The sequence below is a fragment of the Homo sapiens genome, chromosome 12, assembly GCF_000001405.40.
Source record: "Homo sapiens chromosome 12, GRCh38.p14 Primary Assembly".
NCBI classification, from domain to species: Eukaryota; Metazoa; Chordata; class Mammalia; order Primates; family Hominidae; genus Homo; species Homo sapiens.
Window position 1 is genome coordinate 63367832 of NC_000012.12, and position 27760 is coordinate 63395591.

General features: G+C 37.5%; 1 long non-coding RNA gene across 1 annotated transcript in view; it reads right to left on the bottom strand.

Annotated features, from left to right (window-relative positions):
• The window catches only part of LINC03056 (long intergenic non-protein coding RNA 3056), a 90518-nt gene extending 84596 nt beyond the window's left edge, over nt 1-5922 (bottom strand). The window contains exon 1 of the long non-coding RNA XR_007063345.1: nt 5879-5922. This is a non-coding gene — a long non-coding RNA (long intergenic non-protein coding RNA 3056). The remainder of the gene's footprint in view (nt 1-5878) is intronic.
• Nucleotides 5923-27760: the final 21838 nt, after the last annotated feature.

Here is a 27760-nt window from a genome sequence, read left to right on the forward strand (position 1 = left end):
TAGTTTGAAGTCAGGTAGCAAGATGCCTCTAGCTTTGTTATTTTTGCTTAGCATTGCCTTGGCTATATGGGCTCTTTTTTGGTTCCATATGAAATTTAAAATAGTTTCTTCTAATTCTGCAATAAAGTCAATGATAGCTTGATGAGAATAGCATTGAATCTACAAATTACTTTGGGCAGTATGGCCATTTTCATGATATTGACTCTTTCTATCCATGAGCATGGAATGTTTTTCTATTTGTTTGTGTACTCTCTTATTTCCTTGAGCAATGATTTGTAGTTCTCCTTGAAGAGGTCCTGCACATCCGTTGTAAGTTGTATTCCCAGGTATTTTATTCTCCTTGTAGCAATTGTGAATGGGAGTTCATTCATGATTTTGCTCTCTGCTTGTCTATTGCTGGTGTATAGAAATGTTTGTGATTTTGGCACATTGATTTTGTATCCTGAGACTTTGCTGAAGTTGCTTATCAGCTTAAGGAGTTTTGGGGCTGAGATGATGGAATTTTCTAAATATACAAACATGTCACCTGCAAAGAGAGACAACTGACTTCCTCTCTTCTTGTTTGAATACACTCTATTTCTTTCTCTTGCCTGATTGCCCTGGCCAGAACTTCCAATACTATGTTGAATAGGAGTGGTGAGAGAGGGCATCCTTATCTTGTGATGGTTTTCAAAGGGAATGCTTCTAGCTTTTGCCCATTCAGTATGATATTGTCTATGGGTTTGTCATAAATAGCTCTTATTATTTTGAGATATGTTCCATCAGTGCCTAGTTTCTTGAGAGTTTTTAACATGAAAGGATGTTGAATTTTATCAAAGGCCTTTTCTGTATCTATTGAGATAATCATGTGGTTTTCATCATTGGTTCTGATTATGTGATGGATTATGTTTACTGATTTGTGTATGTTGAACCAGCCTTGCATCCCAGGGATGAAGCTGACTTGATTGTGGGGGATAAGCTTTTTAATGTGCTGCTGGATTTAGTTTGCCAGTATTTTATTCAGGATTTTTGCATTGATGTTCATCAGGGATATTGGGCTGAAGTTTTCTTTTTTTGTTCTTGTGTCTCTGCCAGGCTTTGGTATCAGGATGCTGCTGGCCTCATAAAATGAGTTAGGGAGGAGTCCATCTTTTTTTATTGTTTGGAATAGTTTCAGAAGGAATGGTACCAGCTCCTCTTCATAACTCTGGTAGAATTTGGCTGTGAATCCATTTGGTCCTGGGCTTTTTTGGTTAGTTGACTATTAATGCCTGAATGTTCTTGGCATATTCAGGGATTCAACTTCTCCCTGGTTTAGACTTGAGAGGGTGTATGTTCCCAGGAATTTATTCATTTCTTCTAGATTTTCTAGTTTATTTGTGTAGAGGTGTTTATAATATTCTCTGATGGTAGTTTGTGTTTCTGTGTGATCAGTGGTGATTTCCCCTTTATCATTTTTATTGTGTGCATTTGCTTCTTCTCTCTTTTCTTCTTCATTAGTCTAGCTAGTGGTCTATCTATTTTGTTAATTTTTGCAAAAAAACAGCTCTTGGGTTCATTGATTTTTTGAAGGGTTTCTCGTGTCTCCATCTCCTTCAGTTCTGCTCTGATCTTAGTTATTTCATGTCTTCTGCTAGCTTTTGAATTGTTTTTGCTCTTGCTTCTCATTCTTTTAATTGTGTTGTTAAGGTGTCGATTTTAGATGTTTACAGCTTTCTGATGTAGGCATTTAGTGCTATAAATTTCCCTCTAAACACTGCTTTGGCTGTGTACCAGAGATTCTGGTATGTTGTTTCTGTTCTCATTGGTTTTAAAGAACTTTGTGATTTCTGCCTTAATTTTGTTATTTACCCAGTAGTCATTCAGGAGCAGATTGTTCAGTTTCCATGTAGTTGTGTGGTTTTGAGTGAGTTTCTTAATCCTGAGTTCTAATTTGATTGTGCTGTGGTCTCAGAGACTGTTTGTTATGATTTCCATTATTCTGCATTTGCTGAGGAGTGTTTTACTTCCGATTATGTGGTCAATTTTAGAATAAGTGCCATGTGGCACTGAAAAGAATGTATATTCTGTTGATTTGTGGTTGAGAGTTCCGTAGATGTCTACTAGATCCACTTGATCTAGAACTGAGTTTGAGTTCTGAATATCCTTGTTAATTTTTTGTCTCATTGATCTGTCTAATATTGACAGTGTGTGTTAATGTCTCTCACTATTATTATGTGGGAGTCTAAGTCTCTTTGTAGGTCTCTAAGGACTTGCTGTATAATATATACTCCTGTACTGGGTGTATATATATATTTAGGATAGTTAGGTCTTCCTGTTGCATTGATCCTTTTACCTTTATGTAATGTCTTTCTTTGTCTTTTTTGATCTTTGTTGGTTTAAAGTCTGTTTTATCAGAGACTAGGATTGCAACCCCCGCTTTTTTTTGCTTTCTATTTGCTTGGTAAATATTTCTCCATCCTTTTATTCTGAGCCTATGTGTGTCTTTGCACATGAGATGCGTCTCCTGAATACAGCACACCAATGAGTCTTGACTCTTTATCCAATTTGCCAGTCTGTGTCTTTTAATTGGGGCATTTAGCCCATTTATGTTTAAGGTTAATATTTTTATGTGTGAATTTGATTCGGTCATCATGATGCTAGCTGGTTATTTTGCACATTAATCGATGCATTTTCTTCATAGTGTCATTGGTCTTTATATTTTGGTGTGCTTTTGTAGTGGCTGGTACCAGTTTTTCCTTTTCATATTTAGTGCTTCCTTTAGGAGCTCTTGTAAGGCAGGCCTGGTGGTGACAAAATCCTTCAGCATTTGCTTGTCTGGAGAGGATTTTGTTTCTCCTTCTCTTATGAAGCTTAGTTTGGCTGGATATGAAATTCTGGGTTGAAAATTCTTTTCTTTAAGAATGTTAAATATCGGCCCCTCTTTCTTATTGCTTGTAGGGTTTCTGCAGAGGGATCCACTGTTACTCTGATGGGCTTCCCTTTGTAGATGACCCAACCTTTCTCTTTGGCTGCCCTTAATATTATTTCCTTCATTTCAACCTTGGTGAATCTGACGATTATGTGTCTTTGGGTTGATCTTCTTGTGGAGTATCTTATCTTAGTGGTGTTCTCTGTATTTTCTGAATTTGAATGTTGGCCTGTCTTGCTAAGTTGGGGAAGTTCTCCTGGATAATATCCAGAAGTGTGTTTTCCAACTTGGTTCCATTCTCCTCATCACTTTCAGGTACACTAATCAAATGTAGTTTGGTCTTTTCACATAGTCCCATATTTCTCAGAGGCTTTGGTTGTTCCTTTTCATTCTGTTTTCTCTAATCTTGTCTGCATGCTCTGTTTCAGCAAGGTGGTCTTCAATCTCCGATATTCTTTCTTCTGCTTCATCAATTTGGCCATTTATACTTGTGTACGCTTCATGAAGTTCTCATGCCGTGTTTTTCAGCTCCGTCGGATCATAACACACCATATTAACTCTGCCCAATAGATGAGGTTACTTGTCATATACATGAGGTCATCTGGGGCTTAATAACAAAGGATTTTGCAATAACTTTTGAAAGTACAAAAGCTTTGAGATGGAGTTTCTTTCCAGGAGCATGAAGAAGAGATCATTTTTTTGCTTGAGTTCCAAAGCACTTTCCTGGAGATTAAACTATTAAATATAAAGCAAGAATCCCTTTAGGGGTGAATGTGGGAATGTGACCCAGAAAAGTAACTTTAAGAATATGTAATTGGTCATGATGAAGAGCTTGTATCCAACTTAGTTTCCTGCCATACACAAAGAAAAAACTGCAAAAATGTGTGAAACTATTCTATTATTTTCTGGTCATTAGTAGATCATACAGATCTACTCATAATAACCATTCTCTCACAATGATTCTCTCATGATCATTGAGAGAATGGAAGTAAACAATGTGAGCTCTATACTTACTCCAACTTTCTTTCTGGGAGAACTTTCCATATCATGATGCATAGAACTGAAGCCCAAAGAGAAAGTAGCACTCTCACAGGTCAAAGGAGACAGAAGAAAGTTTGAGGTTGCTGGAATAGTTAGAATTTTCAGGGCAGGCCACTAAAGAGAAAGGAGCCACAGAGAAGGGGTTCCACCAATGTAAAAAGCCATATTACATATGGGGGAAGATAAGTACGATAGCTGAGTTACCTCAAATACAGTGGAGGACAGAAGACAATAGAAAGAGAAGAAACTGCCAGCCCAAAATTATACATCCAGCAATACATGTTTCAAAAAAGGGGACTGAAATAAAAATATTTCAGAAAAACGAAAGTAGGAAAATTTGTTGCAGCATTTTTGAGCCCCAGGAAATTGTAAAGAATGGTCTTTAGGCTAAAGGTAAAGGATACTAGATGAAAACTCTACAGGAAGAAAGAAGAGCTTGGAAATAGAAAATAAGTCAGTATTATAAAAAGTTACTGTTATTACCTAGTATTTTCTTGAAAGATACTTATTCTTTAAAGTAAAAAATAATAATGATATAGTTTTGGAGTTATTTAGTGTATCAAAATAAAAGATAGGCAATGCTATCACAATGAATGATAGGGAGGGTAATGCAATTATACTATTGTAAGTTATCAAATTTGTGAAGTGAGAAGTGGAAATGTGAGAAGTATGAAATAGGAACTGAGAAGATTCAGATGATTAAGAGTAAGTAGGAAGTAGATCAGGTATGAAATGTGAAGTGGTAAAATATTGACTCTGAATAGACTTTGTTAAGGTAAAAATGAACACCGCTAGCCTTGTAAATGGAATACTATAATCAACAAATAAATTCAATTGGCCCAAAAAAATTCAGGAGAGGAGCAGGAGAGAAGCAAAATACTTAAGGGACATGAGAAAAAAACAAATGGGTGCTAGGATTAAATCCTACTATATCCATAAATACATTAAATATAAATAAACCAACCAAACTCTCCCATTTAAAGCAGAGACTGTCACTACACACTGTCTCAAAGAGGTGCACTTTAAATTCAAAGAAGCAAATAGATTAAAAGTAAGAGGATAGAAAAAGATATACCAAACAAATTGTAAGCATAAGAAATCTGGTGTTATAATATTAATTTCAAACAAAGTAGATTTCAGAGATAGAGACAATTCATGATGACAATAAAGGCATTTCTTCAGAAAGACGTAACAACCTTAAATGTACATTCACTAATAACAGAGCTTTAAAAATGACGAAGCAAAAACCTAACACAACTTAAAAAGGAAAAAGACAAGTTCACAAATTAGTTTGACTTTTTTAGCAGTCTTTCCTCTTCCCCACATAACTGATGAAAGAAATAGACCAAAAATAATTCAAGATACAGACAGTCTGAACAACAGTAAAAATCAGTTTGATCTTACTGACATTTATAAAACACTACATCAAAAAAAACTGCAAAATAACCATTTTTTTTGAAGCATCCTTTGGATGTTCACTAAGATAAGCCTATACTGGACCATAAAATAAGTCTCAGTACATTTTTAGGGATTGAAATCTTAAGTGTATGCTCTCACTCCATCTATATAATTTATGGATTTAAATTATAAATACAAAACAGTAAGATATCTAGAAAATCCTTCAAATATTTAGAAATTTAAAAACACATTTCTAATTAATGTATTATGATTTTAAAATAATAATTTAATAGAATAGAATAGAGACTCCAGAAATAGACCCACATACATATGGCAAATTGATTGTGTAAAGTCAACAGCTTAATTCAATGGAAAAAGGATAATCTTTAAACAAGTAGTGCTGAAACAACCGGATATCAATATGGGACAAAAGAAGCTATGCTATTTTCCTCACACCAAATATAAAAATTAATTAGAATTATAGGCTTAAATATAAAAACTGAGACTATTAAACTTCTAGAAGAATATATAAAAGAAAGTCTCCATTACCTTGTACAGCAAGGAATTTTTAGCCAGGACACTAAAAGTATTACCTGTGAAAAAAAAATTGATAGATTCAACTTTAATTAAAAATTCTACTATTCAAAAGATATTGATAAAAATCAAATAACATCAATAAAAAATTAAAACTCAAGATGCATACTGAAGAAAATGATATATATTTTTATCCAGAATATATAAAGAACATTTACAAGTTAATAACAAAATAAAACAATGAAAATAAACAAATGTTTTGGACAGATTCTTCTTCAAAACAAACAAACAAACAAACAAACAAACAAGGATTAGTGAATGACCAACAATTACATGAGCAGAGGCACAACATCATTGGTCATCAGAGAAATACAAGTTAAAACCACACGAGATACTACATACATACTAGAATGCCCAAAATTTAAAAAGTTCAATTGCATGTATTGGTAAGGATACAGAGCATCTGGAACTCCCAAAATTACTGGTGAGAGTGCAAAATGGAGCAAGCTTTTTGGAGATATATTTGGTAGTATCTCATAAATTTAAATATATGCTTACTGTATGATCCAGCAATTCAACTCCTAGGCATTTACAGAAGTAAAATGAAAATATATTTCTACAAAAAGACTCAAGTAAAATACTCATAGCAACTGTAACAGTCAAAAACTGGAAACAACCCGAATGTTAATCAAAGGAGAATGAATGACTTTGGCTTATTTACATATAGTATATATATACAGTGAAATAACACATAACAAAAAAGAATAAACTTCTGAACACATAGCAACATGAGCCAATCTTAAGAATATTATGTTGGCCAAAAGAAGGTAAACATAAAGGAATACTAATTGATTCTTATTTAGATGAAGCTCAAAAATATGCAAAACTAATATAGGATGATAAAAATCTAAGTACTGATTGCCTCTGAAGAAATGTTGGCTGATTTAAGGGGAGCCCAGGGGAATTTTCTAGATTTTTTAAAAAGTCTTCAACTTTTATTTTAAGTTCAGTAGTACCTCTGCAGGATGTGCAGGTTTGTTACACAGGTAAACATGTGTCATGGTGGTTTGCCGCACAGATCGTCCCATCACTAGGTATTAAGCCCAGCATCCATTAGCTATTCTTCCTGATGCTCTCCCTCCTTCCTTCACTGCCCCCTCCACACACAGGTCCCAGTGTGTGTTGTTCCCCCAATGTGTCCATGTGTTCTCATCATTCAGCTCCCACTTATAAGTGAGAGCATGTGGTGTTTGGTTTTCTGTTGCTGTGTTAGTTTGCTGAAGATAATGGTTTCCAGCTCCATCCCTGTCCCTGTAAAGGACAAAATTTTGCTCTTTTTTATGGCTGCTAGTGGGAATTTTCTAGATTAATGGAAATTTTCTAAATTTGGATATAGGCAATTGTTACAGAAGCATGAAATTTGCCAAACTGTGTTTGCAAAGTGGCCAGAGGACTTTTTCTTACCTTGGAGTGAGTGAATACGCTGTGATATGCTATGAGGCTAGCCCTGGTCTCATATGTCACTCTTAGCATGGAAAAATTATCCCCATCAAATACATTTTAAGAAATGATGGAAGACAAAAATAAAATTTATTTACTTCTCAAGATTCCACTTGTTCAGTGTCAATTTTTTACCTTAAATATTAATATTTTACTAATATTAATTTATCAATATTAATAGATTAATAATGTAGGTTCCGTTGAATTTGGTGCACCTCTGACAATTCTGACCTTGTGGTAACTTATTTCTCCCTATGCTTGCCTCTGAGTCAACTATCACGAGCCTTTGTTTCTCTAGCAGGTCTTAAAGTCCTTTGGCCTTTTGTTATAAATCACAAATTTAAATTATTTTGTTATCAAAAACACAAATGCAATTTTGGAGACAAATCTTATGGGAATGTTCAATTATAAAGTAGTCTTCCAAAACATTCAGAATGTGTATTTATAAGTATTTGAATGTGTGTATTAGATTAGCCTATGGTCCTCATGTCTCCAGTTTGAAAAACACTGCTAATTAGAGAGACATCTGTGTATTAGGAAGAAGAAAACATTATAATCTAGAGTCAATTCTAACTACTCACCTAACTGCTCTTTGCCTCAGTTTTTCTATCTGTACAATGGGTGAAATGATATTCATCCTACCTTATCCAGATAAGATTTTCAAAAAGAGAGGTGCCTTGAAATGAAATGACATATGAAAGTTCAAAGAAATGTTTTGTGAATTTAAATATAAATAATGTAATAATGCAGGCCATATTAACTAGTATCTGAGATTTTATCAAGAATCAGATTCTAGTTTTTCATGTTTTATCACACGAAGCAAGACCCTTATTGAAGTTGATCTAAAAATAAAGTCATTTGAAGAGAATGAAAATTTTGCCTAGATCATCATCATCTTGTTTCAAAGGCGCCTTGAATAGGCAGCAAATGTAACTTATTGATGGGGATACTCTATTCGTCTACTAAAGTTTTCATCAATGAGCACTTTTTATTTCCTTTAATTGCTTAAAAATTGCTTAGGTGCTTCATTTCCAACTGGAATTTTGGGAAAATTTTTTTAGTAGAATATGTTTTTCTGCATTTAAAATAAAAAGTCTCAGATCTAGTTATAATTTTATATAAGGGCAAAGAGATGATCTTTGCAATTGCTTCAAGTCCTATTGCCCTTTGATTCTCTTTGTCCAGCCTGTTTAGTCTCATAATATTTGGTCAGTTCCAAAATTTTAAGTTATGAAGATGTAAGGTTTTTACATTGGCTTATCTTGTCCTGTCCACAGTACGCCTTGCAAAAAATTCACCCCAAAGTATATTTCATTTCCCAAACTTCCAAAAGGGAAAGGTAGATATAAAATACATTCTCAAACAAAGGGAAAATTATCCTATCTACTTTTGATTAATGTGTTAAAATACATTTTAAACAAAGAAGAAATCAGATTTTTATTGCAGTATAACAGGAAAAAGTTATCATTTTGTTCATAACTTTTTCCTCCTGTTGAACATAGTGATATTTTAAAATATATAATGAGTAGTAGAATATGAATTAAATAAATTTGTGCTGCATAAAAAAGATAAAAACATAGTTTCTTCCAACAACCTAGAGGAACTTTCTGTGGAAATATGATTGTAATGGAAAAAAGAATGCCCAATTGTTTTATGTATTAATAAAGAATTCCATTGGGCTTCTGTGAATGAATTTGTGATTAGGTGAAATAATACAGAAGAAAAATTTGAAAGATTAATACAAATTATGAAAAGTTGTTTTTAAAAATTATTCCTTCCTTCTTTTACCCCACCTTAATTGAAGAAAACTTTTCTTTCTTCAAGCTCTCTTGTACTAGGTCATATAGCTGTAAATTCCTAAGTTATTAATTTGATAAGAATAAGCATTCTTTCCCTGAATCTCCTTTTTGAACTCTCTCACTTAATATATTAGGGTTTTAGCTCTGCTTTTATAAAATATCATAAAAAAGGTTCTTTAATTTTTTTATTAACTCTGATAACATGTACCAAAAAAGATGGGAACATAGGATTTAATCACTCCTTGCCCATAAACTAGCTGGGTGGCCTCAGACCTCAGTCTCCTCATCTCCAAGTATAAATATTAATACCTTATCATCATAACACCAGACAGCTGTACAAAATCACCCCCAACTTCCAACTTCTAACTCTAAATTATTTTCACCTCTAGTTTCTGTATTTTCTGTGATCCTGTTGAACTTTAAGCTATTATCTGACTACAATAAGTTGGATGTGCTATCAAAAGTTTGCAGGGCACATTTACTAAGCTTTTTGTGGGTTGGGAGTGGGGATAATTCATTTCTAGTGTAAAGCCTCCCAGAATCTCCTTTTGGTTAGATCTTTATATGCATGTTTACTTCAGCTGATTCTATGCTTTGGCTCTGTAGGAATTAAGCTTTCCTTGAAGGAGTGTTCTATAAAAGGCCATTGTTTTGTATCATTAAATATGAGAATACGACACATGCAATATGGTAGCTGTAATTAGTGTTTATGGTTCCAAATTAAGAGAAACAGAATATCTTCCTGAACTAATATGAAATTTTTATTAATGCTTATGGTGGGAGATAAACCAAAGAAATACAGGCACCTCAAGTTGGCCGAATAGAAACAGCACTGGTCTGCAGCTCCCAGTGAGAGGCAGGTGATTTCTGCATTTCCAACTGAGGTACCCAGTTCATCTCATTGGGACTGGTTGGACAGTGGGTGCAGCCAACAGAGGGCAAGTCAAAGCAGGGTGGGGCATTGCCTCACCTGGAAAGCACAAGGAGTCAGGGAATTTTCTCCCCTACCCAAGGGAAGCTGTGAGGGTCTGAGCCTGAGGAGCTCTGGCACAGATATTGCACTTGTCCTGCGGTCTTTGCAACCCACAAACCAGGAGATTCCTTCTGGTGTCTACCCCACCAGGACCCTGGGTTTCAAGCACAGAACTGGGCAGCCAATTGGGCAGATACCAAACCAGCTGCAGGAGCTCTTTTTTTTTTTTCCCATACCCCAGTAGCACCTGGAATGCCAGTGAGACAGAACCTTTCACTCCCCTGGAAAGGGGTGCTGAAGCCAGGGAGCTTATAGCAGACTTAAACATCCCTGCCTTATGGTTCTGAAGAGAGCAGCAGACCTCCCAGCACAGTGTTCGAGCTCTGCTAAGGGTCAGACTGCCTCCTCAAGCGGATCCCTGACCCCTGTGTATACTGACTGGGAGACATCTCCCAGTAGGGACCAACAGACACCTCATACAGGAGAATTCTGGCTGGCATCTGGCAGGTGCCCCTCTGGGTCAAAGCTTCCAGAGGAAAGACCAGGCAGCAACCTTTGCTGCTCTGTAGCCTCCACTGGTGATACCCAGACAAACAGGGTTGGGAGTGGACCTCCAGCAAACTCCAGCAGACTGGCAGCAGAGGGTCCTGTTAGAAGGAAAAGAAACAAACAGAAAGGATTAGCACATCCAGTCAAAGACCCCATTTGAAGACCAAAGGTAGATAAATCCAAAAAGATGGGGTAAAATCAGTGCAAAAAGCCTGAAAATACAAAAACAAGAATGCCTCTCCTCCTCCAAAGGATCACAACTCCTTGCCAGCAAGGGAACAAAACTGGACAGAGAATGAGTGTGATGACCTGACAGAAGTAGGCTTCAGAAGGTTGGTAATAACAAACTCCTCCGAGCCAAAGGAACACGTAGAGTGTAGAGAAGAACATAAATGACCTGATGGAGCTGAAAAACACAGCACGAGAACTTCATGACGAATACACAAGTATCAATAGCCAAACTGATCAAGTGGAAGAAAGGATATCAGTGATTGAAGACGAACTTAATGAAATAAAGAGAGAACACAAGATTAGAGAAAAAAGAATAAAAAGGAATGAACAAAGCCTCCAAGAAATATGGGACTATGTGAAAATACCAAATCTACGTTTGAATGGTGTACCTGAAAGTGACAGGGAGAATGGAACCAAGCTGGAAAACACTCTTCAGGATATTATTCAGGAGAACTTCCTCAACCTAGCAAGACAGGCCAACATTCAAATTCTGGAAATACAGAGAACACCACAAAGATACTCCTCGAGAAGAGCAAGACAGATAATCATCAGATTCACCAAGGTTGAAATGAAGGAAAAAATGTTAGGGGCAGCCAGAGAGAAAGGTCTGGGTTACCCACAAAGGGAAGCCCATCAGACTAACAGCAGATCTCTCTGCAGAAACCCTACAAGCCAGAAGAGAATGGAGGCCAATACTCAATGTTCTCAAAGTAAAGGATTTTCAACCCAGAATTTCATATCCAGCCAAACTAAGCTTCATAAGTGAAGGAGAAATAAAATCCTATACAGATAAGCAAATGCTGAGGAATTTTCTCACCACCAGATCTGCCTTAAAAGAGCTCCTGAAGGGAGCACTAAATATGGAAAGGAAAAACCAGTACCAGCCACTGCAAAACCACACCAAAATATAAAGACCAATGACACTATGAAGAAACTGCAGCAACTAATGTGCAAAATAACCAGCTAGCATCATGATGACAAGATCAAATTACACATAACAATATTAACCTAAACATGGAAAGGAACAACCAGTAAAGCCACTGTAAAAACATACCAAATTGTAAAGAACATCAACACTATGAAGAAACTGCTTTAACTAATGGGCAAAACAACCAGCTAGCATCATAATGACAGGATCAAATTCACATAGAACAATATTAAACTTAAATGTAAATGGACTAAATGCCCCAATTAAAAGACACAGACTGGCTAATTGGATGAAGAGTCAATACCCATCAGTGTGCTGTATTCGGGAGACCCATCTCACATGCAAAGACACACATAGGCTCAAAGTAAAGGGATGGAGGAATATTTACCAGAAAAAGCTAGCAGAAGACATGAAATAACTAAGATCAGAGCAGAACTGAAGGAGATAGAGACACAAAAACCCTTCAAAAAATCAAGGAATCCAGCAGCTAGTTTTTTGAAAAAAATCAACAAAATAGATAGACTGCTAGCAAGGCTAATAAAGAAGAAAAGAGAGAAGAATCAAATAGATGCAATAAAAAATGATATAGGGGATATCACCACTGATCCCACAGAAATATAAACTACCATTAGAGAATACTATAAACACCTCTATGCAAATAAACTAGAAAATCTAGAAGAAATGGATAAATTCCTGGGCACATACACCCTCTGAAGTCTAAGCCAGGAAGATATTGAGTCCCTGCATAAACCAATAACAAGCTCTGAAACTCAGGCAGTAATTAATAGCCTACCAACAAAAAAAGTCTAGGACCAGATGGAATCACAGCTGAATTCTACCAGAGGTACAAAAAGGAGCTGGTACTATTCCTTCTGAAACTATTCCAAACAATAGGAAAAAAGGGCATCCTCCCTAACTCGTTTTATGAGGCCAGCATCATCCTGATACCAAAACCTGGCAGAGATACAACAAAGACAAAAAAAAATTCAGGCCAATATCTCTGATGAACATCAATGAGAAAATCCTCAATAAAATACTGGCAAACTGAATCCAGAAGCACATCAAAAAGCTTACCCACCACGATCAAGTCAGCTTCATCCTGGGATGCAAGGCTGATTCAACATACATAAATCAATAAACATAATCCATCCCATAAACAGAACCAATAACAAAAACCACATGATTATCTCAACAGATGCAGAAAAGGCCTTCAATAAAATTCAACACCCCTTCATGCTAAAAACTCTCAAGAAACTAGGTATTGATGGAACGTATCTCAAAATAATAAGAGCTATTTATGACAAACTCATAGCCAATATCATACTGAATGGGCAAAAACTGGAAGCATTCCCTTTGAAAACCGGCACAAGACAAGGATGTCCTCTCTCACCACTCCTATTCAACATAGAATTGGAAGTTCTGGCTAGGGAAATCAGGCAAGAGAAAGAAATAAATGGTATTCAAATAGGAAGAGAGGAAGTCAAATTATCTATGTTTGCAGATGACATGACTGTATATTTAGAAGATTGTATATTCATGGATAGGAAGAATCAATATTGTGAAAATGGCCATACCGCCCAAAGTAATTTATAGATTCAATGCTATCGCCATCAAGTTACCACTGACTCTCTTCACAGAATTGGAAAAAACTACTTTGAATTTCATATGCAACCAAAAACGAGCCCGCATAGACAAGACAATCCTAAGCAAAAAGAACAAAGCTGGAGACATCATGCTACCTGACTTCAAATTAGACCACAAGGCTACAGTAATCAAAACAGCATGATACTGGTACCAAAACAGATATATAGACCAATGGAACAGAATGGAGGCCTCAGAAATAACACCACACATCTACAACCATCTGATCTTTGACAAACCTGACACACACAAGTAATGGAGAAAAGATTTCCTATTTAATAGACGGTGTTGGGAAAACTGGCTAGCCATATGCAGAAAACTGAAACTGGACCCCTTCCTTACACCTTATACAAAAAAGTTAATTCAAGATGGATCAAAGACTTAAACATAAAATCTAGGACCATAAACATCCTAGAAGAAAACCTGAGCAATACCATTCAGGACATAGGCATGGGCAAGGACTTCATGTCTAAAACACCAAAAGCAATGGCAACAAAAGCCAAAATTCACAAATGGGATCTAATTAAACTAAAGAGCTTCTACACAGCAAAAGAAACTATCATCAGAGTGAACAGGCAACCTACAGAATGGGAGAAAATTTTTGCAATCTATTCATCTGACAAAGGGCTAATATCCAGAATCTACAAGGAACTTAAACAAATTTACAAGAAAAAAACAACCCCATCAAAAAATGGACAAAGGATATGAACAGACACTTCTCAAAAAAAGACTTTTGTGCAGCCAAAAGACATATGAAAAAATGCTCATTATCACTTGTCATTAGAGAAATACAAATCAAAACCACAATGAGATACCATCTCATGCCAGTTAGAATGGTGGTCATTACAAAGTAAGGAAACAACAGATGCTGGAGAGGTTGTGGAAAAATAGGAATGCTTTAACACTTGGTGGGAGTGTAAATTAGTTCAACCATTGTGGAAGACAGTGTGGTGATTCCTCAAGGATCTAGAACTAGAAATACCATTTGACCCAGAAATCCCATTACTGGGCATATACAAAGGATTATAAATCTTTCTATGATAAAGACACATTCACACGTATGTTTATTGTGGCACTATTCACAATAGCAAAGACTTGGAACCAACCCAAATGTCCATCAATGATAGACTGGATAAAGAAAATGTGGCACATATACACCATGGAATACTATGCAGCCATAAAAAGATGAGTTCATGTCCTTTACAGCGACATGGATGAAGCTCGAAACCATCATTCTCAGCAAACTATCACAAGAACAGAAAACCAAACACCACATGTTCTCACTCATAAGTGGGAGTTGAACAATGAGAACACATGGACACAGGGAGGGGAACATCACACACTGGGGACTGTCAGGGAGTGGGGGGCTAGGGGAGGGATAACATTAGGAGAAATCCCTAATGTAGGTGACGGTTTGAGGGGTGCAGCAAACCACCATGGCACGTGTATACCTGTGTAACAAAACTGCACGTTCTGCACATGTAACCCAGAACTTAAAGTATAATAAATAAAAAAGAAATACAGGCACCAAATAAGAGGTGGCTGTTAATCAATTAATTCACCACAAAATGCAGTAGATTGAAACAGTTTATTCCTGTACCTCTTGATCTTTATGTGTATAGATTGTAGGAATTCACCAAGAAATTATATAAAATTTGAAAAATATTTTAGATGCACTCTGAACCACAATATTATTTTTCCTTGAAGAGGTCTCTTATCATAGAACTCATAGATGAGTCAGAAATAGAATACATCAAATAGGTCACTGTGTATTTTCTTGTTGAGCTCACAATGCCACAAAACACCCTGCTGTGCTTTTCATTCAGTCAAAAGACCATTATGTCAATTCCATTCATTTATTCATTTGCTGCATTGTTTCTAAGACTTTCATTTTGTGTAGCTACCTGAAATGTCTCTAAGCTGCTATGATTTTTTTAGTGGCCCATACTTCAGGAAACTGCTATGATTTTATCAGAGCTCTTTAGACCTATGGTGATGAGTTCATTCTCTTTCTCTTTCTCTCTCTCTCTCTCTCCCTCCCTCCCTCCCACTTTTATCACTCATGCCATCCAAAATACTACTAGCCATTAGCATTACTTTATGTCTCCTTCCTTTCTGCTACTTTGTTTTTATTTCCCAATTTCTATTCTATTCTATCTCAGAAACCTCCAACACAAACTTTTAAAGAGTACATATTTTCTGTTTTCACCTACAGTGCCTATATTGATTCCTCTTGCTGTTCTACTCCTTACCCAAGATAGCAAAAGCATTTTCAGAACCAAGAATTCTGTCTAAGGCAATCACTGTATTGCTTCCAGGGTACTCAGGCTTTAATTTAAAGAAGCTTCTGGTCTGAAACAGATAGGAAGGAAGATTAGTGTTATTTTTTTCCAGTTCTGGGTCTAGCTCTATCTCTTCCAGCATTTGTGACCCTAGAGGAATGCTAAAAGAAACCTGCTGGAGTTTCCTTGCCTAGCAGAAACCCCAGTAAGGGTCCAGATGTTCATGCTTCTCTGACTCCCCAGAGGCCCTCCTCTGGGAGATCGCCATGTCTGTCTCCCCCAGAACTTCACAGTTAAAGCTTCCCAAACTCCTTTCATTTCATTCCTCATAAAATTTGCCCTTCTTGGATCCCTGTTCCTCAGATTCATGATTATGTCTAGATTAAAGCTGATAAACATGCTTATACCTAAGACTTTAGTAACTAATAATAACTTAATTTTGCATCTTTTGCAGTTTAATATGACTTATCCTACCTTAGCCCTAAAGAGTGATCATTAATGGTGGAAATTTCAGGTGATAGATTATGCAGAAAAATTTGGGGTCAGCAGAGGCATTTAGGCACCCTAAAAGAAGAGCCACTTAATCCCCAGTGTGGCTGGAGGTGATCATAATGACACATTTCCCACACAAATGAGTTCTAACTGGAATAGGACATAGTAATCACAGGGTTGCTGCAGGCAAACTGAGAAAAGGAACTGTTGTTGCCTATAACTGTAAGACATAAACTCCAAAAAGTGGTTTCTTCTACCCTGAGAGATTCCAGCAGGGATGTAAAATGCTGAAGTGCTTTGTTTAGGGAAACAGAAAAAAAAAATTCTCTTTCTCAATGCTCCAGAGATGAACACCGAGAACTTGCTGTTCAGAGAGACGAGAAGAAGGAGTCAACAGTTTCTGAAGAGCCTGTTAGACTTAGGCCATGCTGCACCACAGCCCCTCTCCTGGGAGGTGTGGTCTCAGCACCCTGGCTTCTAGGGGTGCCCTAATGAGGTAGAGAGGATCTCTTTCCAAAAATGCATCAGGGAAGACTGCAAGCAGCATCTAGATTACATATTTCCTTTGGAATTTCTTCATGCTCTCCTGGGGTTTGCAATTTTCGGTGTGAAGATTAGTTATTTAACTTAGTATCATGGGGCATCTCATTACCCAAACTTCCTAGTTTCCATGAATTGTCACTTATTCCAAAGACTTAATTGGCTGCCCATGGTTATCTTGTCTAAAATGTTTGCCTTCTGCCCTCTGGAACCCCCACTGCTTTGTAAGCAGACTCTCCTGTATACTCAATCTCTCCACAGATTGAGGTCATGTGAAATACTATACAAGAAAAATCTGAAGGATAAATGTTTTAGTGAGGGTCCTCCCAGAGAAACTGAACCAATAGCATGTTCATGTATATACATATTATACTGAATGGGTTCACACAATTATGGAGGCTGGTGAGTCCAAAATCTGCAGTGTGGGCCAGCAGGCTGGTAACCGAGGAGAGCCAATGGTTCAGTTCCCATCTAAAGGCTAGCAGGTAGAAACTGAGTAGAGCTGATGGTGCAGATGACGTGCAAAGGCAGTCTGCTGGAGAATTCACTTTTGCTCAGGGGGGCTGTATTTTCTGTTCTCTTCAAGCTTTTAACTGATTAGATGAGGCCCACCCACATTATGGAGGGCTTCTTACTCAAAGCTCACCAATTTAAATGTCAATCCCATGCAAAACCACCTCAAAGTTAACACATAAAATTAACCTTCACAAGTCTACCCCTTGCACCTTGGCACCCATATTCATCTCCTTAAACCATACTTAGTCTTCAAATAAGACAGTAAGATGGTCATACTTCCATCTAACACAATACAACTGTCCTGCATACACTCAAGAATGCACTAACCCTTTCCCCAGAAGAGGATGCAGAGTCGTTGGATGATGTTTACATATTTCAGCCCTTGACTCATGAATCCTGGTCATGGGAGAAATAGTACCATATATTGGACACTGATTCAGAGTATATATATGGCCTCCTGAAGAACCTTGTTCCAGCCCTACAAGGCATTGCTACCTAGCTGGCACTGTAACTTAGTCTTCAAAAGACGACTCCACTGTTCTATTTAGCCAAGGGCTTCAAGATGGTGAGGAACATGGTAAGACTAGTGAATTCCATGAGCATGATACCATTACCACACTTCATTTGCTGTGAAGTGAGCTTCTTGATCAGAAGCAAAGCTGTGTAGAATACCATGATAGTAGATTAGGCATTCTGTACAACCATGGATGGTAGTTCTGGCAGAAGCATTGTATGCAGGGAAGGCAAATATATATTCAGAGTAAATGTCTGTTCTGGTAAGAACAAAATGCTGCCCTTTCCATGATAGAAGCAGTCCAATGTCATCAACTGAATTTATTAATTTTCCTTCATCTACATTCCCCAAAACATAGAAGCCCCTTTCTCTTGTCAAGTCCTAAAAGTAAAAACATCCAGTGGGAAAGGACACTTAGCCAAAGTGTGTGCAACAGATGGACACTAGAATAGAGCAAGAATGAAGTAAGCAAGAATGGAGCAAAATGTCTTAAAAATATCTGCAGATGGAGCTGGAGTAACTTTTTGTCAAATCTACTTAACAATCAATTCTCCTCATTCCCTTCAAAGTAATGGTTTTTAAACACTCATCCAATGTTGTTACTCCCTTACACAAAATACATTAGTGGCTTAGTAGATATGCCCTAAATCCTTACCATGGCATACAAAGGGCTTCACAATCAGGATTCTTTTATGTCTTCAACATTTAGTGCCTACTAATATATTCTGCTACCTATTGAATGCAGTTTTCAGACCCCTTCACTAAACTATTAAGAACTCATTCCTTTGCAGGTTATCCCCTATGCCTAGAAACTCTTCTGTTTTTATATTTCTGTTCACATAACAAATTCCTCCTTATAATTTAAAAACTGAGGTAAAGGATGCTTTCTTCGACAAGTCTTTCTTGAACCCCTCTCTCCCAAGCAGAGATGAATGCTCCCTCTAGGTGCCACTGCTTCCAGCATAGTTCCTGTCACTTTATATTTCAATTATTTGTTTGTCTATAGATTTTTCCCCTCTCTCATATTCTGAATTTCTTCAGGGCAAGATCTGTGTACAATTGAATCTTCAGCCCCTAACACAGTGAGTGAACATACGCTTGCTTATTTAAGCCTAGTTAAAGCAAGCTGACCACCCACATGGCCAATAGACTCAGACACTTCTGGACCATTTACAGGCATTGTCCTGAGCTCCCTTGCCTTCTTACTCTGGTCCAGTGTCATCTTGGCTTCCAATCTCTTTTTTTCTCTCTCTCATCCTCCACTCCGTATTTCCCCATTAGACAGGACAACAGAAGTCAGGTTTCCAGGCTGCTGAGGGCAGCAGTTCTAAACCTTTTGTGTCCCAAATGTGTTGAATCATAGGACAAAAAGAGAGAAAGGAGTGGAGTACAATGATCTTGTTAGTGTCACCTGAAGAATGATGAGGTTTGTAAATTTGAAAAGGAGACCTTTATTTCTCATAAAGCATTGCAGCCTGCAGGGTGGCCATTCTGACAGGCTGGGAAGCATAGCCTCTGGCCAGAAGCCAGAAACAGACACTTTGGGGATCAGAAGAATAATACAGAAATTTATTCTGAATGGGGTGGCCTAGTATACATACTCAATAAGCTATAGAAGGAGGCATAAACATTTATGAAAGGAGAAATGTACACAAACACAATTGAGCTTCCTGCCTCTCCATGGGACCCATGTTCAAAAACAGTGGTGTTAGCATGATTTGAGGATGGAGTTTTCAGTCCTCTGACATCAAATAGTGATGCAGAGGACACACAAACCCTCACTGTGCATTCTCCATAGACTAGCCAGAACCATTCTGTGGTCAGCGGTGTCTTCTCAGGCAAAAAGAGGAGGGATAGCTTCAGGCAGTTGGTTGATATCAAAACGGTAGTCTTTTGAAAGGGCTGGTTTCTGTTAGCCCTTAGGGAAGAAAGCCTAATGGCCATTAGGGAGGGAGCAGGTATAATGAGGCGTGTCTGACCTCACACCCCATCATGGCCAGGAACCCAGTTTTCAAGGTTTCTCTGGAGTCCCCTAGGACAAGAGGTAGGTCGGTTCAGTCAGTTGGGGAGCTTAGGATTTCATTTTTGTTTCTCACTAGACATGTAAAATTAATACCACATACCACAATATGCATATATCTCAAAACCATAGCACCAAAGCAAGCAGCCAGATGCCAAAAAAAAGTACATAATAGATTAATATATGTTGTGAAGGCCAAGCAACTCCATCTTAGATGATAATCTAACGTGTTGGTTACTGATTAACCCTAGTTCTGGGAAGGCCTCTTAAGATTTCTAGTTTATTTATTGCTTCTTGTGTAAGAGGGTGTAGTTACCACAAATCCTGCCCTTAAGCAGCTGTCCTACACATCTCTTCTGAAGCACACATACGCTTTCTCTACAGCATGTAAGCCCTGGGTCTGTGGGGTAACAGCACAGGGATCCACCATCTTGTCTTGCCACCTCTCGAGATACAAACACGACTTCTATTCATAAGTTCCAGTATTTTTCTAAGAAACTGAATTTGTCTAGCCTCTTTCTTCAGCCTCTCAATTCCTCGGACTTTGGGGCTAGGTTTGCGTAGATTTGCCCACCATGGACAGTTGTTAAATGTCAGGAGAGTGGTTTTTTTTAGGAGTAAAGTAAGTCGAAAAGAACACAGGGGAGTTACTGAGGTGCTTGTAATGCTTCGTTTCTTGATCAGTGTGCTCAGTTTGTGAAACTCTATCAAGCTGCACACTCACTATCTATACGCTTTTCTGAATTATGTAATACAGAATACACAATGTGAAGTTAAGAAAATAATATCACAATGGGAAACCATTTTATACCCAGGAGAATAGGAAAACTTTAAAAGTCTGACAATGCAAAATGTTGTCAAGAATATGGAAAAATTGAGAATTCCTTGTTTTTAGAAGTGTAATTTTATTTTTAAAAATCTTTGGAAACTAATTTAGCATTATCTTGTAAGAAAGAACATGTGCATATCCTACAACTCAGTAATACCATTCCTAAATCAGAGAAATTCTTGCACATCTACACCAGAAAGCATATAGGAGAATATTCATAGAAGCATTGTACATGGATTAAAGCAATAAAGGAAGAAAAGAAACAATTGGGGTGACCCAGCATCAGGGGAATGGATAAATGGCAGCATATTTGTATTACACAGCTGTAAAAATTAAAAAAAAAAAAACTACTCACATCAACAGAGATGATTTTAGAAATGAATGTTAAATAAAAAAAAGCAAGTCACAAAAAATTACACAGGAGTCAATGTTTATAAAGCTTCCAACATAGCAAAAGGAACACACACCTATGTGATGAAGCTATAAAAAAACAAAAAGAGTAAACACACAATCCAGGAAAGTGGTTACCTCTGGGTGAGGGAGGGAGATGCAACTGGGGAGGGGCATCGAGGAGCTTCCTTGGAATTGTCCACGGCCTAATTCTTAATTAAAGGGTGGGTTGCCACTGTGCTTTGTAATTTGCATATGTATTATCTATGTTTATTTGTATGTACAAATTAATCAACAAAAAAATTATCTGAGAATTCTGGTTCAGTATGAACACGTAGTGTTACCCGACTTCCTTTCTAAACCACTCATTAAATGAAAAATACAAATGATAACAATATTAAAGGAAAACTACACACAAAAAGTAAAAAAGAAGAACCATTAGCTAACAAAAGCTATCTATCATTTTTTGGCTTTTGGGGTTTTCCTTTAGAGACAGGGTCTCGCGCTGTCACCCAGGCTGCGGTGCAGTGATATGATCATAACTCACTGCAGCCTCGGTGTCCTGGGCTCTGGTGATCCTCCTGCCTCAGCCTCCAGAGGAGCTGGGAGTGCAAGTGTGTGCCACTGCCCTCTGAAAGAAAATGAGCGGAAGGGGTTACTGTCAAAACATGCTAGACAAAGCTGTAGCTCAAAATGTATAAAGAAGGACTTAAAGCTGAGGAGAGACAGATCAGTTGCCCCACTGAATCCAAGGAGAGACTTGGCCTAGAGAATTGTCCATTATGGTAGAAGTAAGAATAAGAAGTGGGGCTGAAAGTCAGGACATTTCTTGAACATCTCTGTGTAAGCCTGAGGCAGGAGAACAGGGCCTGGAGGCAGGGAACCTAAGGAATTCCTAGAACCAAATCAAACGGAAACACTTCAGCTATGACAGGAAATATCCTCTTCATTTACATAGGGCCTAAACCAAGTCAATGACTTTGTAACTTTACTTCATCCTCTTTCTTCATTTACGTAGGGTGTACACCAAGAAAATAACCTTGTAACTTCACTGTAGCCTCTTCATTTACATACCGTGTACACCAAGTAACCAATGGAACCCCCTAAAGGGTATTTAAACCCCAGAAATTTTTGTAACCAGCCCGTGAGCCGCTTGCTCAGGTCCACTCCCACCCTGTGAAGTGTGCTTGCATTTTCAATAAATCTGTGCTTTTGTTGCTTCATTCTTTCCTTGCTTTATTTGTGCATTTTGTCCAATCCTATATTCAAAACGCCAAGAACTTGGACACCCTCAACCAGTAACAAGAGTCTAATCCACTTCATGTGCCTCCCCCAGCCCAGGTAAAAAATTCCTGGTGGAAAAATCGCACCATCTGGGCAAGTGCAGCCTTGGTGAAGGGATCCCAGGCTGGATTTTAGCTCTGCTTCCTACACAAGCACCTGGACCTCTACTTCTGGAGATTGTGTAGCAGAAAACCATCAGCCATCAGCTTCTGTGTTTTCCCAGGAGGAAGCTACAGCTAAAGCTATTATCATTTGCCTATCTAGGGCCCAGCATTTAACATGTTGTTGCTATTTAACCCTGGTAGCCCTTGTGTCTCTGCTCTTAATTTTAAATTCCTTTATCTTGAAATGGGGGAGGGGTGGGAGCAAGGTTGCAAGGAAAACTGGCAAACTTGAGTAACTCAGTCCTATAGTTAACCAAATGTCTAACTTCTATAACAAGAAAAATAAGAAATATCATTTAATTGAGTTGGGGAGATAAAATATATAGGTGCATGTTTAGTGGGTTATCTAAAAAATGAAACAAGTGAAAATATTAGGGCATGTTTTATATAGCAAGGGTAAGTATTGTTTCCTGAAATGTATGTGTGTGGTGTGTGTGTGTGTGTGTGTGTGTGTGTGTGTGTGTGTGTATTACTGAAATATGGTTCTGATTGTGGGGTTTTGTTTTAAAGTCTGTGATGTTTTTTAAATTTGGTAAACACGCAATGAAACATTGATTAGTACCCAGAGAAAAGAATGGGCTACCAGGTACAGAGACACTGGCAGGCGTTCCTAGATCGTGGAGCTGATGCCAACTAGATCTAAATTAGCTGCTAGGTGCTGGCCAAGGAGTATCCCTGTGAGAGGGAAACTGCGTGGTCAGGGGACAAGGTTGAGGGTAGAGGGTAACTTTTTTTTTCATCGAGACGGAGTCTCACTCTGTCGCCCAGGCTGGAGCGCAGCCATGTGATCTTAGTTCACTGCAACCTCCCCGCTTCCCAGGTTCAAGTGATTCAACTTCCTTACCCTCCCGAGTAGCTGGGATTACAGGCAGGCACCACCACGCCCAGCTAATTTTTTGTATTTTTAGTAGAGATGGGGTTTCACCATGTTGGCCAAGCTGGTAGCGAACTCCTGACCTCAAATGATCTGCCTGCCTCAGCCTTCCAAAGTGCTGGGATTATAGGTGTGATCCACTGTGCCCGGCCAAGGGTAACTTTCGATAGTCTACCCTGTTGTAGAAATATCACCTATTCATAAATAAATAAATAAATAAACAATTTATGCAAGGGCAAACTTTTTTTTTTAAGTTTATGGATTTCCTACAGTGTATTAGGCACTTCTTTAGGGTTTTACTGAGGGAGTCAACAAACTGCCCAAAGAAAGAAAATACTATATCAGTAAAAGTCTAAGGTAGTGGGATAGTGAACAAACAGTATCATGTGGCAATCACAGCATGTTCTAGTGACACCTGAAACCTATTGTTTATTTACTTTTGTTGAGTTAATTTCAAATGAGAATCAAATGAGATCGTTCAGGGGAAGTATTTTGAAAATGAGAAAAACCGATTGAATTTTAATGTAAGGTTAAACCTCAGAGATCTGTGGTCCTTTAGGGTATGGGGGAAATTAGGATAGCAATGAGTTAGAGGGAGCATTTACAGGGTTACATTTATTCTTTCATATTTTGGGATGGGATTCTAAACAGTCTCAAAGGTTGAAATATTTCCCAAAGGTCGGAATGCTAAGAGGTCAGCACAGCAACCCACAGAGTTTGTTGCTAAGCCTAACAAAGTTCTCTGTTTATCAGATCATTTGTACAATATTTTGTTATTGTCCTTCTAGTTGAGTGACCTGAAACAAATGACATTCTATTGCCTTGGTTTTCTCAGTTGTAATTGCAGACATTGAACCAGGTATTCTCTAAGATCCCTTTCCATGCTAACAGTTGTATGGAACACCTCCACCAGCCTAAGTACCGGGGCCCATTTTCCTTTGAAATCATTAATCAAGTCCTATTCATGAATCCATCCAAAGATCCATTTATAACTGCAAAAGCTGCCCTGAGACATGATACTTCCCACAGCTCCCAGATCAAAAGAGAACAATTTCTACCGGGAAGTATTTCTGGCCGCTTCCAGAAAATAGTCATTGGTGTACTGTAATGCTTAAACAATGTGAGAAAAACCAGTCTAAATGCCACTGCATTTTACTTGCTGATTTTAGAAGACCTAAAATCTGTCTGCAGCAGAAGAGGGACTCTCCTCCATATGCGCTAAAACTGAGATCAATACTGCCACATACTACCAAGCACTAAGATCAGAAAGAGAATTGTGTGTGTCACTTTTCTAACAGACTGTAAGCCTAGACAAGATTGCTCTTGACCTCACTAAAAATATTTACCTCTACATGGGAAAAGATGGAATTAACAAATTTTGGAGCAAAACATTGAAATTTTAAAAAATAATCTTGGAGTAGTGAAAATCCTTCTAAGTAAGGAATAACCCTAACTTTTTAAGAGAAAAGACTCATGCATTTGACCCTATAAAAACTTCTGGACGAAAAAAGAAAGGAAAAGAAGTATGTGTTTATATATATGCAAAAATTTAAAAACCAGCAAGGGTCTTTTCATAAACTGACATTTAACATCTAGATAATACAAAAGCTTCTATAAACAAGAAAAAGTAAATAAACCAATAGAAAAATGGACAAAAGACACAAAGAAAAAAATACAAAGATAGAAAAACAGCAATATCTGAAAAAATATTCAGCTTGATAAAAATCATGTAAAAATTATGTATTATTGGCTATCAGATGTGCACACTTTAAATTAGATAGTATCTACTGTTGGCATATTCGAAAACAGGCATTCCAACATGGTGGGTGTACATTAAATTGCTACTACCTATTTGGTAGGTAATTTGTTATTTCAATTAAAATTTGCAATTGCCTTCCTAGACTCAGCAGTTCTACTTTTAAGTATCTATTCAAAATAACAATATACACACAAAGTTATACAAACATGTTTATCTCAGCCTTCTCTGAAATAATAAAAAGGTATATAACTAAAAATCATATATGTTAAATAAATGAATAAATAAATGTATAAATATAAAACCTTGTAACTATACATAAATAAAGATTTATAGTTAAATAAATTATGGTACATTTGGGGAGGCACAGTAGTAAAAAAGAATAAGAAAGATAAATACATACCGACATGTAAAGAGGTCCAAAGTATGCTGGTGCTCTTGCAAAAAGCAAGTCACATTATATACACATCATATGATTACATTTGTATTGCAATAAACACATCTAAAAGAGAAATCAAAGTGTATATGTGAAGTTCATAGATGTATTCCTACAAGTTCTGAATGCAGCCTCTCCTCTGCATGCAGTGGAGGAAACATTAACATGTTTTTGTAATGAATATTTATAAGAAAATATTGGTGTGTTATCTGTATAATTCTTAAATTTTAGAAAGAAATTAAACAATGCAGGAAAAGAAAGAAAAGATAAAGGAAGAAGAGAAGATAGGGAAAGGGAAGGGAAGGAAAAATTTTGTGTGCATCAGCTATTGAAATGTCAGGGTAAGATACATCTGGTCCTCTTAATAATGATGTATCTTAGGAAAATTACATCACCTTCTCCCAGCTTCCTTTCACTAAGAGAAGTAGAGCAGAGTAAATCATTGCCCAATCTTTAGAATCAGACTACTGGATTCAGATGCTACTCTACTTATCAATGTAAGATCTTAGTCCAGTTACTTGACCTCTCTGTAATTCAATATCCTCATTTAAAAGCGGGGGAAAGTGGCCGGGTGCTCACGCCTGTGATCCCAGCACTTCGGGATTACAGGTCAGGAGGCAGGCGGATCAAGATGTCAAGAGATCAAGACCAGCCTGGCTAACACGGTGAAACCCTGTCTCCACTAAAAATACAAAAAATTAGCCAGGCGTGGTGGCAAGTGCCTGTAGTCCCAGCTATTCAGGAGGCTGAAGCAGGAGAATCACTTGAACCCGGGAGGCGGAGGTTGCAGCGAGTGGAGATCGTGCCACTGCACTCTGGCGTGGGCGACAGAACAAGACTCCAGCTCAAAAAAAGAAAAAAAAAAGCGGGAGGAGTGAGTAATATTAATATCTATGTAAAGTTCTTGTAAAGATTACATGCCAAAAGTACTTGGAACAATATTGACATTTGGCAGACACACAGTGTTAGTTCTTCAATTAATACCAGTAGGCACCGTCTATGTGTTACGGATGATAATAACATGAAAAAACACTGCTCTCTTTTCGTTGCTTGGAATACAGAGAGGAAAGGCTAGGCCATATTGGAAGCCAGTGCACATATGAGTCCATCCAGGTAGATGGCACAGCCCTGGGTTTGTAGAGTCTACACCCAATAGATAAAATTCTAAGCCAAAGAGTAAGCAGTGCTTGAATTGCAATGAAGAGTTTGCTAGTATGTGTGTGACTTTTCAAGTGCTTTCAACATACTAGGATCTCAGTACATACGTTTTGATCAATGTAGTAACAAAATTATAGTGTAGCATATTTGGGCACAAATTCTGGTTTGCCAGCCATGTGATGCTAGACAAAAACTTCAATCTTCCATTTTCTCATCTGAGAATATGTGGACTTGAATATCTAATTTGCACTGTTGTAAGAGTTAGAAATAGAATTTATATAGTACTTAATAATACCTGGAGCAAAGTAGGTGTTGAGTAGATAATAGATGTTATTATTATGGTCTGAGAATATCTATCTAAGCTGGCTTGTTTTAAAATTTAAAAAAATAATTCAACTTCATGAGTACTACTATTTGCAAAGAAACCTTATGATTTAATGTAAGTTTAAACACAGGACTAAGAAGCAAGAGTTTCAGTTCTTTCTAATTTTAGCTCTGTTGCCAACTTCTTTAGAGCCCTTCAAAAAGTCACTTAATCAAATGAAATATTTGTTAATAATAATAGTCTGTAGCCAGAGTGTTATTACAACATCCACTTGCAGAACAATTTACTGTGATTGTGCATGAACTACGTTTAAAATTCTTAGACTTCTGTTTGGTGTTCCGTGAAGTCATAAACCTGGGAACTTTCTCAGGACATTCACCTGCGAAGTTGGAGTTTTGTCTAGTTCCTCAGCATGCTCTGTTCCTATGTGCTTGCATTCCATGGTCGGCCCACACATTTTCTTGTCTCTTTTTTTTTTTTTAACCTCCTCTCCCAAAGGTTTTTAAAAGATTAGACAGGGTGGTCCTTAATCAACATTTGCATTGGTTGACTGAAAGGAATAGGAACTACAGTGACTTTTTCCCTGATATTCCATAGTCAGTTAGCTCTTTGTCTTAGATTAACCCCGGTTGATGCACCAAACTTCCTCCTATAAGTGACTTTAGGGCACACTCACCCCATCCTTCTAACAAGAAA